The 17,154-nt window shown below is 43.2% G+C and overlaps 1 protein-coding gene across 3 annotated transcripts in view, besides 1 other annotated feature; it reads right to left on the reverse strand.

Moving 5' to 3' along the window:
• The window catches only part of CORO1C (coronin 1C), an 86,410-nt gene that overhangs the window by 2,587 nt on the left and 66,669 nt on the right, over positions 1–17,154 (reverse strand). For all 3 annotated transcript variants that reach the window (NM_014325.4, NM_001276471.2, NM_001105237.2), the window contains exons 4-10: positions 14,334–14,463; positions 11,043–11,224; positions 9,609–9,728; positions 6,611–6,715; positions 4,577–4,722; positions 1,268–1,325; positions 910–1,155 (exon numbers count right to left, since the gene is read on the reverse strand). In NM_014325.4, the coding sequence (NP_055140.1) occupies positions 910–1,155; positions 1,268–1,325; positions 4,577–4,722; positions 6,611–6,715; positions 9,609–9,728; positions 11,043–11,224; positions 14,334–14,463 (987 nt within the window). The remainder of the gene's footprint in view (positions 1–909; positions 1,156–1,267; positions 1,326–4,576; positions 4,723–6,610; positions 6,716–9,608; positions 9,729–11,042; positions 11,225–14,333; positions 14,464–17,154) is intronic.
• Positions 17,008–17,077: an enhancer, noted in NCBI's record as "active region_6974". NCBI's record gives its function as "activates an Ori minimal core promoter by ATAC-STARR-seq in GM12878 lymphoblastoid cells {active_cell/tissue: GM12878}" and the evidence as "EXISTENCE:reporter gene assay evidence [ECO:0000049][PMID:35858748]".

The raw sequence follows: 17,154 nt of genomic DNA on the forward strand, positions 1-17,154 counted from the left end.
AGCACTGGCCGATCTATCTGAGATCCCGTGGCAAAACAACAGTGTGTCACAGTGTCACAGTGCCACTTCTGATCCCGAAGCCTGTGCATTTACTCAAACAAAGGGTCTCCTGGGTCACAGTTAGACTATAGGACAAAACAGGCTCCTTCAACAGTGTCCTACGTCCTAACCACCCCAATCATTCCATCAAGAGTAACTTCTATCTGACCAGAGAGAGGGGTGACTCTCCCAGAGGCTACAGAGCTCCTGCCATCTGTGAGGCTCCTTCTTGGGAGGGAAACCCTTGCCCTGTGTGTCCACTCCTTCTCTCTTACCCAGGACCTGCTCTCCCGGCAACAGCAGCACTCTCCAGTGGCCGCAGCGAGTCAAAGGCAGGCTTGATTCCCAATTCCCCACCCAAAGGGCTCTTGCCTAAATCCCCCTTGTTGCCAGCCCCACACCGCCAGATCCTTCTGTCGTAGCCACTCAGCTACATCTGAACACGTGCCACTCCCTCCTTCCAGGGACCTCCTCTCCCTGGTGCCTATGACCCCACACTCCCATGATATTTTATTTCTACCCAAATCAGAGAAGGGTTTAACTAGTTTGGCAAAAGACAGGAAAAACCCAAGAGGCTCCTGTTCACACTGAGAGATAGGAGGAAACTGATACCTATCCCAATCATGGTGGTCTGTGGCCACACTTGGCTCCTTTAATGGGGCTAAAGGAGCTTTAACTCCGTTAAAGGAGGCAAGTGTTGCCACAAACCACCACCATCACGTGACCGAGGACCTTCTCCCACTTTTTCATTTACTGAAAACCCCTGAGCACCCAGCTGGGACAGTACTCGCCGACGCCCTGGACCACAAGGGCTTTCTAGAGGATAAAGCCTGAACCAGCCAAGCACCCCTGCACTCCACTGGTCCTCACCACACTGGCCGTGTCTGTGGTTTTCTTGGGGATGCTGATCAGGTCGCACTTCTTGTTTGCAGTGGGCTTGCTATCCAGAATGTTCTTCTTGACCACCTTGAGATCCCTGTTTTTGCCTGGAATGTACCCGTGCTTCAAGGAGATGAGGATTGGGTCTGCATTCTTGCCTTCGAACCACTCTTCTGCCTCCAGCGCGGCCTCTGGCCCCGCTGTGTCAGGATACAGGTCATCTTGGAAAAGGTCAGACTACAAGAGACATTTGGCACCCGTGGGTAAGGAAGAAGAAAGGCCTGGGATTTTTGAATTTTATTTTTACATTTGTTTAAAATATGGATTGTCTAGAAAACTCAGCACTCACCTTCCTGGGAACAGTCATAATAATAGGTTCACACTTTCTCTCATGAAGTTTGAAGAATCTTCAGAGGGGAAATAAAGGCAAAGTTGCATTAAGTGAAATATGAGGCTGACTAACAGGATGAATAATTAGTTTTCTACAATGCTGTCTGAAATGTCAAGTGCTTCTTTACCCATCCCCACATCTGATCCACCCCGGGAATAGGCAGAATTTAGTGTTCCCGGTTGACAGATGAGAGAACGGAAGCTGAGAGTCACTATGCTAGGAACTGGCAGACTGGAGACAAGAACCATGAGTAGAGGTCTACGTATGATGATGACAAATGCCAATTATCTGGGGGACAGACCAACTGTGGTGGAAATAATAGCAACACTGAAACTGACTCACTTATGAAAAAATTACCATGTCAACCTACAGGAGAGAACACACATCTGTTAGATTGTATCTACAACGCGGGTACAAGGTCTTCTGCCAGCTTGAGGTGGTTGAACATATAAGTATAAATATGACTTTTAGAAAGCAAAAGAAAACAATCCTAGGATTATGATTTTCTCATCCTAGCAAACCACATCGTACATGACACTCAAGAAAAATGTGAAACTATCCAAAATGTGGAAAGAGAATGTAAAGCCACTTGCACTGTAATACTGGAAGAAGGGAGCAAAGAGCTCTGTAATGGGGAAGAAAGGTATAACATTTTTATTTGTATCCTACAAGAGAACTAAACAGACCAGAAATGACTTCTCTTATGATGACCCTGATAAGGTCAAGCCAATTTTCTTTTTCAGTCAAGACGGGAAACAACAAAAAAAGTCTCTAAAGCTCCTGGCAAGAGAGGTAGCCTTAGTGAGCATCCTGGCCAGATCACCAGATCAAACGGCTGGTGTGCAAGGGGGGAGTTGAATGTGGGCGTCAATGCTGCTGGGGAAATGTTTTCTGAATTCCAAGAGTTTAAGTCAGAGAAGACACAGCCACATCAAATATGCAAAACCATTTCTCCTGGAAACCTGCAGCCTTTGGCATCTGAAACTGGGCAGGAGTCCATTGAAGACAACCTGGCAGATACACTGCTCTAACGCATCAGGGGAACAAAAGCTGAGTAGAGCTCAGGGTGGTAAAGGTTTATAAAATCATCATCCTCTTTAAAAGGAAGGTTGTGTCAAATGTGCCTCTTTACTATTTCAACCAAAAACTAAAAGAGTCCCAGATAAACCAAAAACCTTTTTTTTTTTTTTTTTTTTTTTTTTGGGACTGGGTCTTGCTCCATCGCCCAGGCTGGAGTGCAGTGGCACAAGCTCATTGAGGTCTTGACCTCCTGGGCTCAAGCCAAATCCTCAGCCTCTGGAATAACTGGGACCACAGGTACGTACTACCACACCTGGCTAATTTTTTTAATGTTTTGTAGAGACAGGGTCTCACTAGATTGTCCATACTGCTCTTGAACTCCCAGGCTCAAGTGATCCTCCCACCTTGGCCTCCCAAAGTGTTGGGATTACAGGGTGAACCACCACTCCTGGCCCAAAAACATTTTTAAAGACTGATTTAATGAAAATTCTGTGGTTAGTATAGCCAATAAAAAGACTGACTTGGCTTTGACTTCCAGCTCTACTACCAAAACCCACGAGAGTGTGACAACCTCACCAAGCCTTAAGTTCTTCATCCATAAAATGGGGATAAAAGTTACACCTACCACATATGATTGTTATGAAAAGAAAGAGGTAGCAAGTAGCATATTTAGCACAGTCCTGGCATACAATAAATGCTCAAGAAACACTTCATAAATCGGAGACATTCTGAACAACTGTGTTTATAGTCTGTCGAACTTTTAGATGACAACAAATGTGTTTCAAAATATTGGATGTAATCATAAATTTGAATTCAGTCTATTTTGAACCATATTTTGATTAGTTTGGTTTAAACCACAATTTTCAATTATCTTTAACAGCTTTCCTTCATTATTCCAACTAAAAAAAAAAAATCACATAGAGAGTTTTGGTTTGTTTGTTTTTGTTTGTTTGAGACGGAGTCTCGCTGTGTTGCCCAGGCTGGAGTGCAGTGGCACCATCTCGGCTCACTCCGCCTCCTGGGTTCAAGTGATTCTCCTGACTCTGCCTCCCAATTAGCTGGGATTACAGGCACCCACGACCACACATAGCAAATTTTTTATTTTTAGTAGAGATTAATATAAAAAAGGGGCTTATAAAAATTCTCTTCCTTTTATTTGGAAGACGTAAGTATCAATTCTTTAATTGTGAGACCAGAACAGCAAGCGTTTTAAAAGTCCACATAAACACAGTGTTACACAAATGTTTGGTACGACCTTATATGTGATGATGTAGTGCTAATTATTCTGTTGTTTGAAATGGCCAGTGGTCACTGAGTCTCAGAGGATATATTTGTTGACTAGCATGAGAAAAAAGCCTGTCCCTTAGGAAGCCTGCTAGCATTTAGAATATGAATTTTCTAAAAATCAGAAGTAGTACAGAGAGGTAGAAATTATATCATAGCTGAACTTCCTAAATCAAGCTAACCTACCGCCCCATTATAGGACCTTTGGTTTCTCTATTTTAGGACCAGTGGGGCCCCAAATACAGTTTTGACTCTGGTTCTTCCACTCATAGGGTAGGAAAACCACCCACTTTTCCATCCCCGAGCCAGGCTCTCCCTACTTGCCCACCAGGGAACGCTGACCATGGCCTCAGCTTGAAGATTAAAGATGCATGTTTCACTATTTCAGTAGGTGTGCAATACACCCCAGCTATGCTGCTTCATTGTTGCACTTCAGTTATATGGGCAGGAAATGAGGTATTAATTCCACAGTACACACAAGGATAGAAAGACTTGGGCTTCATAGAATTTCTTGTAGCTGTATTGCTCTGGTATCACCAGGCATTCAGGTGATGATAAAAAGTGAGATGTGCCGGGTGTGGTGGTGGGCGCCTGTAATCCCAGCTACTTGGAAGGCTAAGGCAGGAGAATTGCTTGAACCAGGGAGGCGGAGGTTGCAGTGAGCTGAGATCACACCACTGCACTCCTGCCTGGGCAACAGAGCCAGACTCCGTCTCAAAAAAAAAAAAGTGAGATTTTTTTCTTTTCTTTTTTTTTTTTTTTTGAGATTTTTTTCTAATGAAGAAACTCAGTTTTAGTGATATCCTTAGAAAGTGCCATCTCATGGCAATGTGTACAATTCTACTACTTTCTTGCTCAGAATGGTCAGATATTTTTGAGATCTGAAGTATATGCTAGTCCAAGTACAAATAATTGTCACACAGTTACACCAACCTAGAATACTTGACAATCTCGATTCTTTACCTGGCAATCTCACATTTGTTAACATCAAGTCCCCTCTTGGGCATGTAACCCATCCCTCTCTGAGGCTCCTTGCTGCTGAATGTGTTGAGGTAGTGGACGTACGGGGATTCATCCGTGATCTCAAAATAGCGAATACTGCTGTCACCCTGTAAGAAACCAGAGACAAGTCTGTGTCTGATTGTTAACTGAAACATCTGGATTATGGGGGTGTCTCTCTCCTCTACAAACCCAGCAGTAGTTGGGACCCCGCTTCAGTAGCTGACCTTTTCTTCCTCATAAAGAGGCTTGCCTAAAGCATATAAAAGTTTCTTTTCCTCACAAAGTAACCCCTTACTTATCAAATGCTAGCATGCCTTTTAAGTGGTCTCCTCAGCCTCCTGGCTCCTGGCTCTAATTTTACTCCCCTGAGCCTAGGCACCAGGCCAGGGTTAGGGCAAAAATGTTAATGCCTCTGCCAAACAGCTACATTGCAATTCAACTGTGAAAAACAAACAAACAAACAAAGACTAAGAGGACTGCTGAGAATGCAATTATTGATTTAAGTATTCATTTACTGGCATAACGCAATGCTGTTATGCCAGTATGATGATAAAAAGTGAGATTTTTCTAATGAAGAAACTCAGTTTTAGTGAGTATCCTCAGAAAGTGCCATCTCATGGCAATGTGTACAATTCTACTACTTTCTTGCTTAGAATAGTCAGATATCTTTGAGTACTGAAGCATATGTTAGTCTAAGTACAAATAATTGTCACACAGTTACACCAACCTGAACAATGACGGCAATCTTGTCTGGCAGAGAGGAGATATACATATATGTAAGAAAGAAGAAGGCAAAAATAGCTAGGTGGTATCATGCCTCAACAGTGCTCCCAGTTCTCATGATTTCCATTTGTCTCAATGACTGAGATATCTAAAGCAATGGAAAAGAAGCTAAACCCTTACTAGTCATTTCTGCATGCCCAAAAGAATTTTCCATCTCATGTTACTAATATCTGAGTAACTGCTCATTTTGTTTGTTTTAATTCAGTCAAGGGCAACAACAGCAAGGTAAATGCACTTAACACCTGTTAACATCTGCAGTAAAATGGCTTTCAAGGAAACAGACAAGATCTCCATTTCTAAAACAATGACCTATAAAAATGTAAAGCAGGTCTGCAGCATGCTCAATCAGCTATGAAAAGCAAACACCAGCTTTACCACCCAGTGAAGGGCTATCTAACAGGTCTAGGGACTACCTCAACAGCTCCACTGTTATTAATTCATTTATTTCAACTACAAAAAGTTCTAAGGGAAATTGAGCCTACAAGAAAAAAAAGGGAACTATAAGGTTCCCACTTACAAAAATGAAATAATAAAGCTACCCACAGTCTAGGTATGCTGAGCTCATAAGGCAGGAGGAAGGTTTTTGGAGTTCAGTGTGGAGTCTCCCTATAACTGTTATCACCCCTGAGCTTTAGTCAGGCCTCATATCTTCAAGCCCAGAGCCCTAGCACTGAACCCCAGGAACAAGAACCCTCTGGAGAGTCTCTGAGGCCCTCAAAAGTTTGCATCCACAAAGCACCATTCTCCTTCCAAGTCCATGGTGTGTGGTACTAAGTATACACATGCTCATCTAGGGTTATCCAACAAATTTCAGCATTAGATGTGGCCAACTGGTTGCCCATCCCTGACATAAGTACAGATAAATCTAAAATCACCAATCAGGTAGCACTGCTAGGTGAAGATGAAACACCAGTGTATCTTCTTTTTTTCACAAGAGCGCCCTGATTGGAGCATTTTCCCCAATACCCCAGCCCAACCTCTGCTTCAGTCAAAAGTATGCAACATGGCGTGTTATCACTGCACAACTGGCAAGCTGCACACAGTCCAGTCTCAAGACCTAAAAATACCAAATTATCTGTCCTTGGCTTATAACATACACACACAAATTAGAAAAATTAAACAGATACAACACATTGCCCGTCCTCTAAATCTCTGAAGGATAAATGTTTCCACTTACAGGATTTAACACCAAACATCAAAATTACTGTTTACCTTTCCACATAAGTAAATGATGCTGGTGTCAGGGTCATAGAAAGGCAGCAACACCCCATTGCTAGTGTCCATCTCATGAAGAGCAATTGGTTCCTGCATATTTTTCTGGGGGGAAGATAATAATAATACATATATGTGTATGTATACATTTTTTTAAAAATAAATTTTTATAACCTTATTATATATTCTTCTATCCCAATTAAGCGAGCCATTTTCCTAGAATAACAGAAGTTTGAACTATGCACATACAATACTCATACATGGAAACAGCAACAGGGATGCTAAATGAGATCCAACTCACAAAATTTCACTGATTTGACAACATAATGCGCGCATACATCAGCGTGATTTCATGACAATGATGAGAAAGCCCTTCTCCTTTGTTACTGTTTTCTTTTTCTTTTTTTTTTTTTTAAAGACTGAGTCTCCCTCTGTCGCCCAGGCTGGAGTGCAGTAGTGCTATCTCGGCTCACTGCAATCTCCGCCTCCCAAGTTCAAGCGATTTTCCTGCCTCAGCCTGGCAAGAGCTGGGATTATAGATAGGCACATGCCACCACCCGTGGCTAATTTTTGTATTTTTAGTAGACACAGAGTTTCACCATGTTGGCCAGGCTGGTCTCCAACTCCCAGCCTCAAGTGATCCAGCCACCTCAGCCTCCCAAAGTGCTGGGATTACAGGAATGGCCACTGCGCCTACCCTATTTTATTTTTTTAAAGTACTTCTTTAATTATAAAATATGTGTGCTTTTAAAAAGTTGAAAGATATAAAAAAGAACATAAAAATCATTCCATCAAAATCCTACAGCCCAGTGGGTGACAGAAGCTATTATCATTTTGATCTATTTCCTTCCGACACATGTACACAGAGATTGAGATGATAGAATGTATGTTGTATTTTTCCCCACTTAAGCTAATTATGAACATTTTCCCAAGCATGACTATTTTGATTTAGACAACTGATCATATTATTTATGAAATATGAACTTATTTTCCAAATCCAAAACACTAGATTCTTCATTCTTTTTAAAAAATATAGTCCCCTCCCTCTCCCCTTCCCCCTCCCCCTCCCCCTCTCCCTCTCCCCACGGTCTCCCTCTCCCTCTCTTTCCACGCTCTCCCTCTGATGCCGAGCCGAAGCTGGACGCTGCCATCTCGACTCACTGCAACCTCCCTGCCTGATTCTCCTGCCTCAGCCTGCTGAGTGCCTGCGATTGCAAGCGCGCACCGCCACGCCTGACTGGTTTTCGTATTTTTTTGGTGGAGACGGGGTTTCGCTGTGTTGGCGGGGCTGGTCTCCAGCTCCTGACCACGAGTAATCCGCCAGCCTCGGCCTCCCGAGGTGCCGGGATTGCAAACGGAGTCTCGTTCACTCAGTGCTCAATGTTGCCCGGGCTGGAGTGCAGTGGTGTGATCTCGGCTAGCTACAACCTCCACCTCCCAGCCGCCTGCCTTGGCCTCCCAAAGTGCCCAGATTGCAGCCTCTGCCCGGCCACCACCCTGTCTGGGAGGTGAGGGGCATCTCTGCCTGGCCGCCCATCGTCTGGGATGTGAGGAGCCCCTCTGCCCGGCTGCCCAGTCTGGGAAGTGAGGAGCGCCTCTTCCCGGCCGCCATCCCGTCTAGGAAGTGAGGAGCGTCTCTGCCCGGCCGCCCATCGTCTGAGATGTGGGGAGCGCCTCTGCTCCGCCGCCCCGTCTGGGATGTGAGGAGCGCCTCTGCCCGGCCGGGACCCCGTCTGGGAGGTTAGGAGCGTCTCTGCCTGGCCGACCCGTCTGAGAAGTGAGGAGCCCCTCTGCCCGGCAGCCGCCCCGTCTGAGAAGTGAGGAGCCCCTCCACCCGGCAGCCGCCCCGTCTGAGAAGTGAGGAGCCCCTCCGCCCGGCAGCCGCCCCGTCTGAGAAGTGAGGAGCCCCTCCGCCCGGCAGCCACCCCGTCTGGGAAGTGAGGAGCGTCTCTGCCCGGCAGCCACCCCGTCCGGGAGGGAGGTGGGGGCTCAGCCCCCGCCCGGCCAGCCGCCCCGTCCGGGAGGGAGGTGGGGGGTCAGCCCCCACCCGGCCAGCCGCCCCGTCCGGGAGGGAGGTGGGGGGGCAGCCCCCGCCCGGCCAGCAGCCCCATCCGGGAGGGAGGTGGGGGGTCAGCCTCCACCCGGCCACCACCCCATCCGGGAGGTGGGGGGCGCCTCTGCCCTGCCGCCCCTTCTGGGAATTGAGGAGCCCCTCTGCCCGGCCACCATCCTGTCTGGGAGGTGTACCCAACAGCTCATTGAGAACGGGCCATGATGACGATGGCGGTTTTGTGGAATAGAAAAGGGGAAAAGGTGGGGAAAGGATAGAGAAATCAGATTGTTGCTGTGTCTGTGTAGAAGGAAGTAGACATGGGAGACTTCATTTTGCTGTGTACTAAGAAAAATTCTTCTGCCTTGGGATGTTGTTGATCTATGACCTTACCCCCAACCCTGTGCTCTCTGAAACATGTGCTGTGTCCACTCAGGGTTAAATGGATTAAGGGCGGTGCAAGATGTGCTTTGTTGAACAGATGCTTGAAGGCAGCATGCTCGTTAAGAGTCATCACCGCTCCCTAATCTCAAGTACCCAGGGACACAAACACTGCGGAAGGCCGCAGGGTCCTCTCCCTAGGAAAACCAGAGACCTTTGTTCACTTGTTTAACTGCTGACCTTCCCTCCACTATTGTCCTATGACCCTGCCAAATCCCCCTCTGCAAGAAACACCCAAAAATGACCAATAAAATTAAAATTAAAAAAAATTAAAAAAATAAAAAATATATAGTCAACAGCCTCTTCAGGAGTATCAAAAGTATGTCTTTGAAATACATTTACCAGTAAGTCTCCAACGAGGATAAGAACTTCACATCCAATCTAAGACAATCAGGCGTTTAGAAAACTACACTAAGAATCCCATAATCTACTTACTCACTGGAAGACCTGCTCAGAACAGAGAGAAAGCTCAAGTGAAAGCAAGTGGAAAGCCTGGGGAGGGCGTACCGGATTCCAGAGAGCCAGCTGCCGCTCGCTCATGCGGCTGAACCCAGTGGTGAAGACATTGCCATCGGCCAGGAAGATGGCTCTCATGGGTCTTGCTCCTTCATGTGCTTTCTCCTTCTCCTGGAGAGCAAAAAGGCACATGCCACACATTAAACTGCAAGAAGACAAGGTGAGTGGAGAAACTCGGGCACAGATCCAACCTCACCAACTGCCATTCATGTTCACCTGGGTGTGGGAGGGAGGTCAGTGTTAACCATCCCCCTTCCCCAGATGAGGAAACAAAGAGATACTATGTGATCTGGTCAAGGTCCCTCTGTGAGGCTGCAAGAATGCCAGGATTTAACTCAGAAGACTCGCTCTCTCCACCATATCCTGCTGCCAACCCAAGTCTATGCACTGTGAAAATAAAACACATGAAAGGACTCTGACAAATGTTTGTTTCTCAAGAGGATAATAACATAAGGAGATTAGGCATGCCCTACCATTTCTACCAATATCATAGGGCAGAAAGAAGCCTTGTCTAGTTAACGCTTTCCTTGACCTCAGTAGTTTAATGAATGCACTAGGACAACCCTTAGAAGATGTCGGGTGGAGAAAACACTTAACACAGGGCTGGGCAAGTCCCCAGGGCTCAGTAAGCACCAGCTACTATCATTGCCCAACTCTTGAAAAGAGATGCAGCCAAAGAACAACCACATCTCAGGAAGGGCCTCAGAGTGTGGCAAATGAGGACTTCTCAGACTTACTATGTGTAGTTTCAACACCGACTGAAGACCCAAATGTCCATCTTTTGTCAAGGTATGTGATTTTGTTGAGGTCCAGTTTGGGTGGCAGAAACTAAGACACTGAGCTGATGAGAGAACTTGTTGCTTTTCGCCCTGCGCATTTATTTATTTATTTATTTATTTATTTTTGTATTTTTAGTAGAGACAGAGTTTCACCATGTTGGCCAGGCTGGTCTCAAACTCCTGACCTCAAATGATCCACCCACCTCGGCCTCCCAAAGTGCTGGGATTACAAGTGTGAGCCACCATGCCCGGCCACCTGTTGCATCTTTAACAGCTGTGTTTGGAAAAGGGTGAGGAATTGATTCATCAATATTCAATACTAAGCTGCAAAATCAGGAATGCAGCCAATTGGTTTAATTGATCAAGACTTATAAACTCTTAAGGACTCTAGTGAACTGATACAAACTATTTCTTTGTGAAAAAAGGCTACAAAGTGAGAGACTTGAGTAAAAGCTGGAAAATTTACAACTCTGGAGAGAAGCACAACTGGGGAGACAGAAGCCTTTATAAGCCTTCTCTTATTCACAGTTGGTGTCTACACACAACAGGGTCCCACTGACCAGTACCGCTGCCTGCCTTAAAAAGCAGAAAGCTCACACTCACTCAAGTGCTCCAACTACTGAGTTTTCATCCTAGGAATACTCACAGCAACAATCTCTTGTTTCCTGGGATCAATGACTCTCACTTTCTTGTCTTTGGAAGCTGTGCAGATCAGACTGCCATTCCGGTTCCAGCTCACATTGTAAATCATGTCTGAATGCATATCGTCCAAGTTTATAAGGGCTTCCCCTGTTCCCACATTCCAGATGATAATGGCATTATCACAGCCTAAAACAGGCAAAACCATCAGAGATTAGAAGATTAGAAACACCTATGTAACACACTCAGAAAACTACAGATACAGTGAGAATACACATATGTATATGCAGAGAGAGAGAGAGAGAAAGAGAGAGAGAGAAAAGATGCGGCTGATTGTCAGAGGCCCTACCAGAGGCCCTACTTACTAACAGCGTTAAAAACTGAAGTGACAAAGGAAAAAGTTTGTATAAAAGAAATAAAAGTGTTAAAGTAAAAACACAACTTGTTAAGTTTGGGTTCATATGAAACAATCAACCAAACAAAAACAAAGAACCACACCAAAACAGAACCCTATTTTCTTTAAAGAGTTAACTGGGCTGGTAGACCCAAGTGACTTCAAGTTTCCCTTTCTAGTAAAACAAGCATCAGGGTGTTGCTGCCAGCTTTGGGAGACCCCTATTAGGCAAATACGCTCCTTCCTTTTAAAGAAAACTTTGATTTTCCCCTGCTATACAATTAGTACATGTATACTATAGAGAACATATATAAACAAAAGGAAAAAAAATCACTTTTAATCCCACCACTCAGAGAGAAGATCATTATTACTTTTTTGATGTTTCTTTCCGAAAGATATTTCTGTGCACATACATAAATTATTTTACATACAGAGATGGGTTCATACACTTTACACATGGGCTGCTTTCTGCACTTGGTGGTAGGCTGTGACCCTTTTCACGTGCCAAATAAACTAAAAGTAAAAGGTTTAAATGACTGTTTAGGGCACTCAACAAAAACTCTGGGTGGCAGGTTATTCAAATCAGTGAGACTCTAAGACACAGCTTTGGGATATTAAAGATGGTACAACAGTGGAAGGGAAAAGCCAAGAGTAAGGCCTGTTTGCTCACAACAGATCTGTACCTTTAAATGAAGAGAAAAATAGGCCAAGACTGCTCTGATCATGGTGAGAAGCCCAAACTGTAATCAAGTAGCTACATAGATTCAGAAACGGATTCTGAAAGAAGCCCACAATGTCAACTCATTCACCATCTCAGCTCACCAACTCCTTCCTTCCTTCAAGGGTCTGCCCCACGCCTCCAGGCCCCTTTAAAAAGAGGCAGCATGTGTTGCTCCTAGGATGTTAGTTCAAGGATGAAGCAAAATACGGGAAGGACATCCTAGAGGTGGATTCTTGCCAACAAAGCAATTTGGAAATCATTTAGAAAAAATAGTCACTAACATCCAGGATACTTAAGTTACCTAAGGGTTAGAAGTAGGAAACTGGCCGGGCACGGTGGCTCACGCCTGTAATCCCAGCACCCTGGGAGGCCGAGGCGGGCAGATCACCTGAGGTCAGGAGTTGGAGACCAGCCTGACCAACATGGAGAAACCCTGTCTCTACTAAAAATACAACATTAGCCAGGTGTGGTGGCACATGCCTGTAGTCCCAGCTACTTGGGAGGCTGAGGCAGGAGAATCGCTTGAACTCAGGAGGCGGAGGTTGCGGTGAGCTGAGATCATGCCATTGCACTCCAGCCTGAGCAACAAGAGCGAAACTCCATCTCAAAAAAAAAAAAAAAAAAAAAAGAAGTAGGAAACTGGAGAAAAAAACTACACAACAGTAACAAAAGTTGAAGCTAAACTCTGGGATGGACAATTGAACCTTCCTCTGCCTTCTTCCCTATAGGCAAACAGGTAACTTCAGCCCCGGCAGCTGGATCATATAGCCTAAAAATATGCAGAACACGACAATCACCCATTCTCCTTCACATGTAAAAGGGAGAATGCAGACCAGTCTGTTGCTGCTGCCCTGTATTGAGCCTTGATGAGAAAGGTAGCAGGGAATTTTCCATGAAGGAATTCCAGCTCTGGAATTTTTTTCCTCTCCTTAATCAGACTGAGGTTCTGAGAGAACATCAAAAATGATTCCCAAGTATAGTCGATGGTGATTATAAAAAACATGGCATCTTTTTTGAAAAGTGGGCCTTAGTTTCAATAGTTACTTGGCATTATAATTTTTTATTTAACTCACTATGAGTCATAAACATTGTGTATTCCCAGTTAAAAACTGAACTGCCCCTCCTCCTTTTTACTGGTGAGGGGAAAGACCTTTAAAAATCCTATCTCTAACATTAGTATCACTTTTTAAATAAACCACTTTTATTAAGGTATAACTTACATACAATACAATGCACCCATTTTAAGTATATATTTGCTAAGTTTCAACAAATGTATAAACTCATGTAGCCACTACTATGATCAAGATACAGAATATTTCCATCACCCCACAAAGTTCCCTCATGCTCTCTGTATTGCTTTCATAAAAGAAAATGAAATCTCCAATTTTAGATAAAGGAAAAGATTTCTGTACAACACCAGTGTCCAGAAATAGGGGACTTATCAAGTAAAATGAGGTATATCCAGAAAATGGATTAGTATGAAGTCATTAAAAATAGGAAGAGAGCTTAATGGCACGTGAAAAGGGTCACAGCCTACCACCAAGTGCAGAAAGCAGCCCATGTGTAAAGTGTATGAACCCATCTCTGTATGTAAAATAATTTATGTATGTGCACAGAAATATCTTTCGGAAAGAAACATCAAAAAAGTAATAATGATCTTCTCTCTGAGTGGTGGGATTAAAAGTGATTTTTTTTTCCTTTTGTTTATATATGTTCTCTACAGTATACATGTACTAATTGTATAGCAGGGGAAAATCAAAGTTTTCTTTAAAAGGAAGGAGTGTATTTGCCTAATAGGGGTCTCCCAAAGCTGGCAGCAACACCACAGAGGGAACACAGGGCTTCTGGCTCCCAACAAAGTACACCTTCTACCATATCAGAAATAACCAAAACTATGGTTCATGGAGGGCCCTGGCAGGAACCATGAAACCTGCTGAAATTATAGCAGGAAATTCATAGCTTTCCTCAGGTTGTCGAAATGGCCTTGAAACACACACACGTGCACACACACACAAGTATGTATGTGGGCTGGGGGAGCAGTGCACCCCAATACTCTTCACCATGGTTTCCTAATAATCTGCTTTAAAACCATATAGCACACAACCAAAACACATTTGCTTCCCCCCACTCAGAGAGCCACAAGAGTGGAAGACAAGGGGAGGACCGCTGAGCTCAGCTCCCACCTGCACTAAGAAGCACATTGCGGGCCGTTGGATGCCAAGCCACGATGCCGACTCTCTTTGAGTGGCCTTCCAAAATCACCACAGGTTCAGTCAGGGAAAGGGTGAGTCCATTTTCTGGGATCTGCCATACCTGTTGGACAAGGAAGAAAGATGATCCACATGAAAGCTATTGCCTTTCATTATCACATTTACAGTGACCATCCACTATAAAGATTTGCTCTATGTAAACAGAACATAGAGTGATATCTGGATGAAAGGCAGAATGTTGTGAAATGACCGTGTTAGGCGGTTTTTTTTTTGTTTGTTTTTTTGTTTTTTGTTTTTCGTTTTTGAGACGGAGTCTCACACTGTTACCCAAACTGGAGTGCAGTGGCGCGATCTCGGCTCACTGCAACCTCCATCTCCCAGGTTGAAGCAATTCTCCTGCCTCAGACTCCCAAGTATCGGCTGTTTTTAAAATGTAATATGTTATCGGAGATCAGGATACCAACAAGGACTACAAAACATTTCCTCTCAGCTTTTATTTAATATTATTTGGGATTTTATTCTAAATTCCTTGTTAAGTTCAAAACTCTCCAGTTAGAAGCATGCAAAAAATTGAAAGAAAACTACAAAATGATTGAAACACTCAAGAAAAGGAATGGGAATGAAGACACTTAGCTAAGTCTGTGGTTCTTGATGGGATGACATAGTTTTTAAAACATATTTTCTATAATTTTACACTTGGAAAACAAAAATACACTTAATATTTTTATAACATGTATTATAGAAAATATTACAAAAGAAAAAAATGAATTAGACCTCATCAAAATTAAAAGCTTTTGTGCTTCAAAGGACACTATGAAGAAAGTGAAAAAACAACCTGCAGAATGGGAGAAAATAACTTACAAATCATACATTTGATAAGAGACCCATAGCCTGAATATAGAAAGAACTCTTAGAATTCAACCAAAGGACAAATAACCCAATTGAAAAATAGGCCAGTCATCTAAATAGACATTTCAAGGAAGACATATAAATGGCGAAAAAGCACATGAAAAGATGTTTGGCATTATTAGTAATTACAGAAATGCAAATCAAAACCACAAGCTCTCTCTTCATGCCCATTAGGATGGCTAGAATCAAAAAGACAGATAACAAGTGTTCACAAGCATGTGAAAAAATCAGAGCCTGCACACATGGCTGGTGAAAATGTAAAATGGTATAGCCACCATTTGGTGGCAGACCTTGGAAAACAGCCTGGCAGTTCCTTAAATGATTAAACAGAGTTATCATATGATCCGGTAATTCCACTCCTAGGGATATACCCAAGAGGATGGAAACTATGTGTCTATGCAAAAACTTGTACAAGAATGTTCATAGAAGCATTATTTGTAATAGCCCAAAGGTGGAAACAACCCAAATATCCATCTATCGATAAATGGCTGAACAAAATGCGACATATTCATACACTGGAATATTATTTGGCCATAAAAAAGAATGAAGTACTGATACATGCTACAACATGAGCAAACTCTAAAAACATTATGCAAAGTGAAAGAAGCCAGACATAGAAGACCGCATATTGCAGGATTCCATGTATGTGAAATGTCCAGAATAGGCAAATCCGTAAAGACAGAAAGTAGAATAGTGGTTGCTTAGTGTTGGGGAGAGTGGAGGGAGGCAGGTGGAGGGGTGATAGCTAAAGGATTTGGGTTTCTATATGAGGTGATGAAAATTTTCTATAATTGTCTGTGGTGATGGTTGTGAATATTCTAAAACTCAGTGAATTGTACATTTTAAATGAGTGAATTCTATGTGAATTATATCTCAATAAAACTTGTTATTTAAGAAAATCCTCTTGACTAGTGAAGACATGCAGAAGACTCACCACATCTTAATTGGGGACATGCCTGGGCACAGGGGGAGAAAGGGACAGGGAAAGTATGAGTGGAAGGAATGAAAGACTTTATGTTTAACAATGAACAACAAAGGTTTCAAAAGGTTAAGAAACAAACAACCTCTAAGAAAAGGGCTGAGTTACAGGTAAGCTGAGTAGCATCAAGAACCCTACCGAAGACCAGATATTAAATAATATTTAAGTTTATGAAAAAGCTAAAGTTTAAAATCATTATCTTCTACATGAAGATTAAAACAAGTAAATTTACCATCAGAAAATGATTTTGAGGAACTAGCTCATGAAAAATTTAAGAACTTGTCAATGAAAAATCATGTTCAACACTAGAACACGTGAGAAAAAGAATTTTCCTTTGTGGGAACTTTAAAGAAGGAGACAAACAATTGTCTGTTTTCAATTGCTTAGTGGAAGGCAGAGATCTAGACTGGATGAGTGTTTAGGGTTCAGCTCAGTTCTACTGTCCTGCAAAAAATGAGAACAAAAAGTTTGCCATTCTGAAGAGTGGGAAAAAGTCATGAGTTGAGTGATTTGTTCATTTTTACAGCTAAATTCTGCCCAGGCTAAATATAACCCCTTATGCAAATCATAACAAAAATAAACCTGCATTTTGAGGGCCCAAGCTTAGAACATCACCTAATTTCCCCAGAGCCAAATTTTAAGCAAGGCAGGTGTGAACAAGCATAGAAGGAAAAGGAAGACCTACCCTGCCCTCTCCCTCCCTCTGCGGAAGAGACCTTGACCCAGGCCTCTTTCCCCTGCGGAGAACATGGGCATCTGCTCTCCTCCATTACTGCATGTTAGCTTTCATCCTGACATGCACTATTTTTATTCAAGAATTTATGATTAGTGAAACAACTCCACATTGAACTTGACTATCTGAATATAAAGCAGGACTGACATTTTGAACAGAACAAACAGAAAACA

The sequence above is a fragment of the Homo sapiens genome, chromosome 12 (genome assembly GCF_000001405.40).
Source record: "Homo sapiens chromosome 12, GRCh38.p14 Primary Assembly".
NCBI classification, from domain to species: domain Eukaryota; kingdom Metazoa; phylum Chordata; class Mammalia; order Primates; family Hominidae; genus Homo; species Homo sapiens.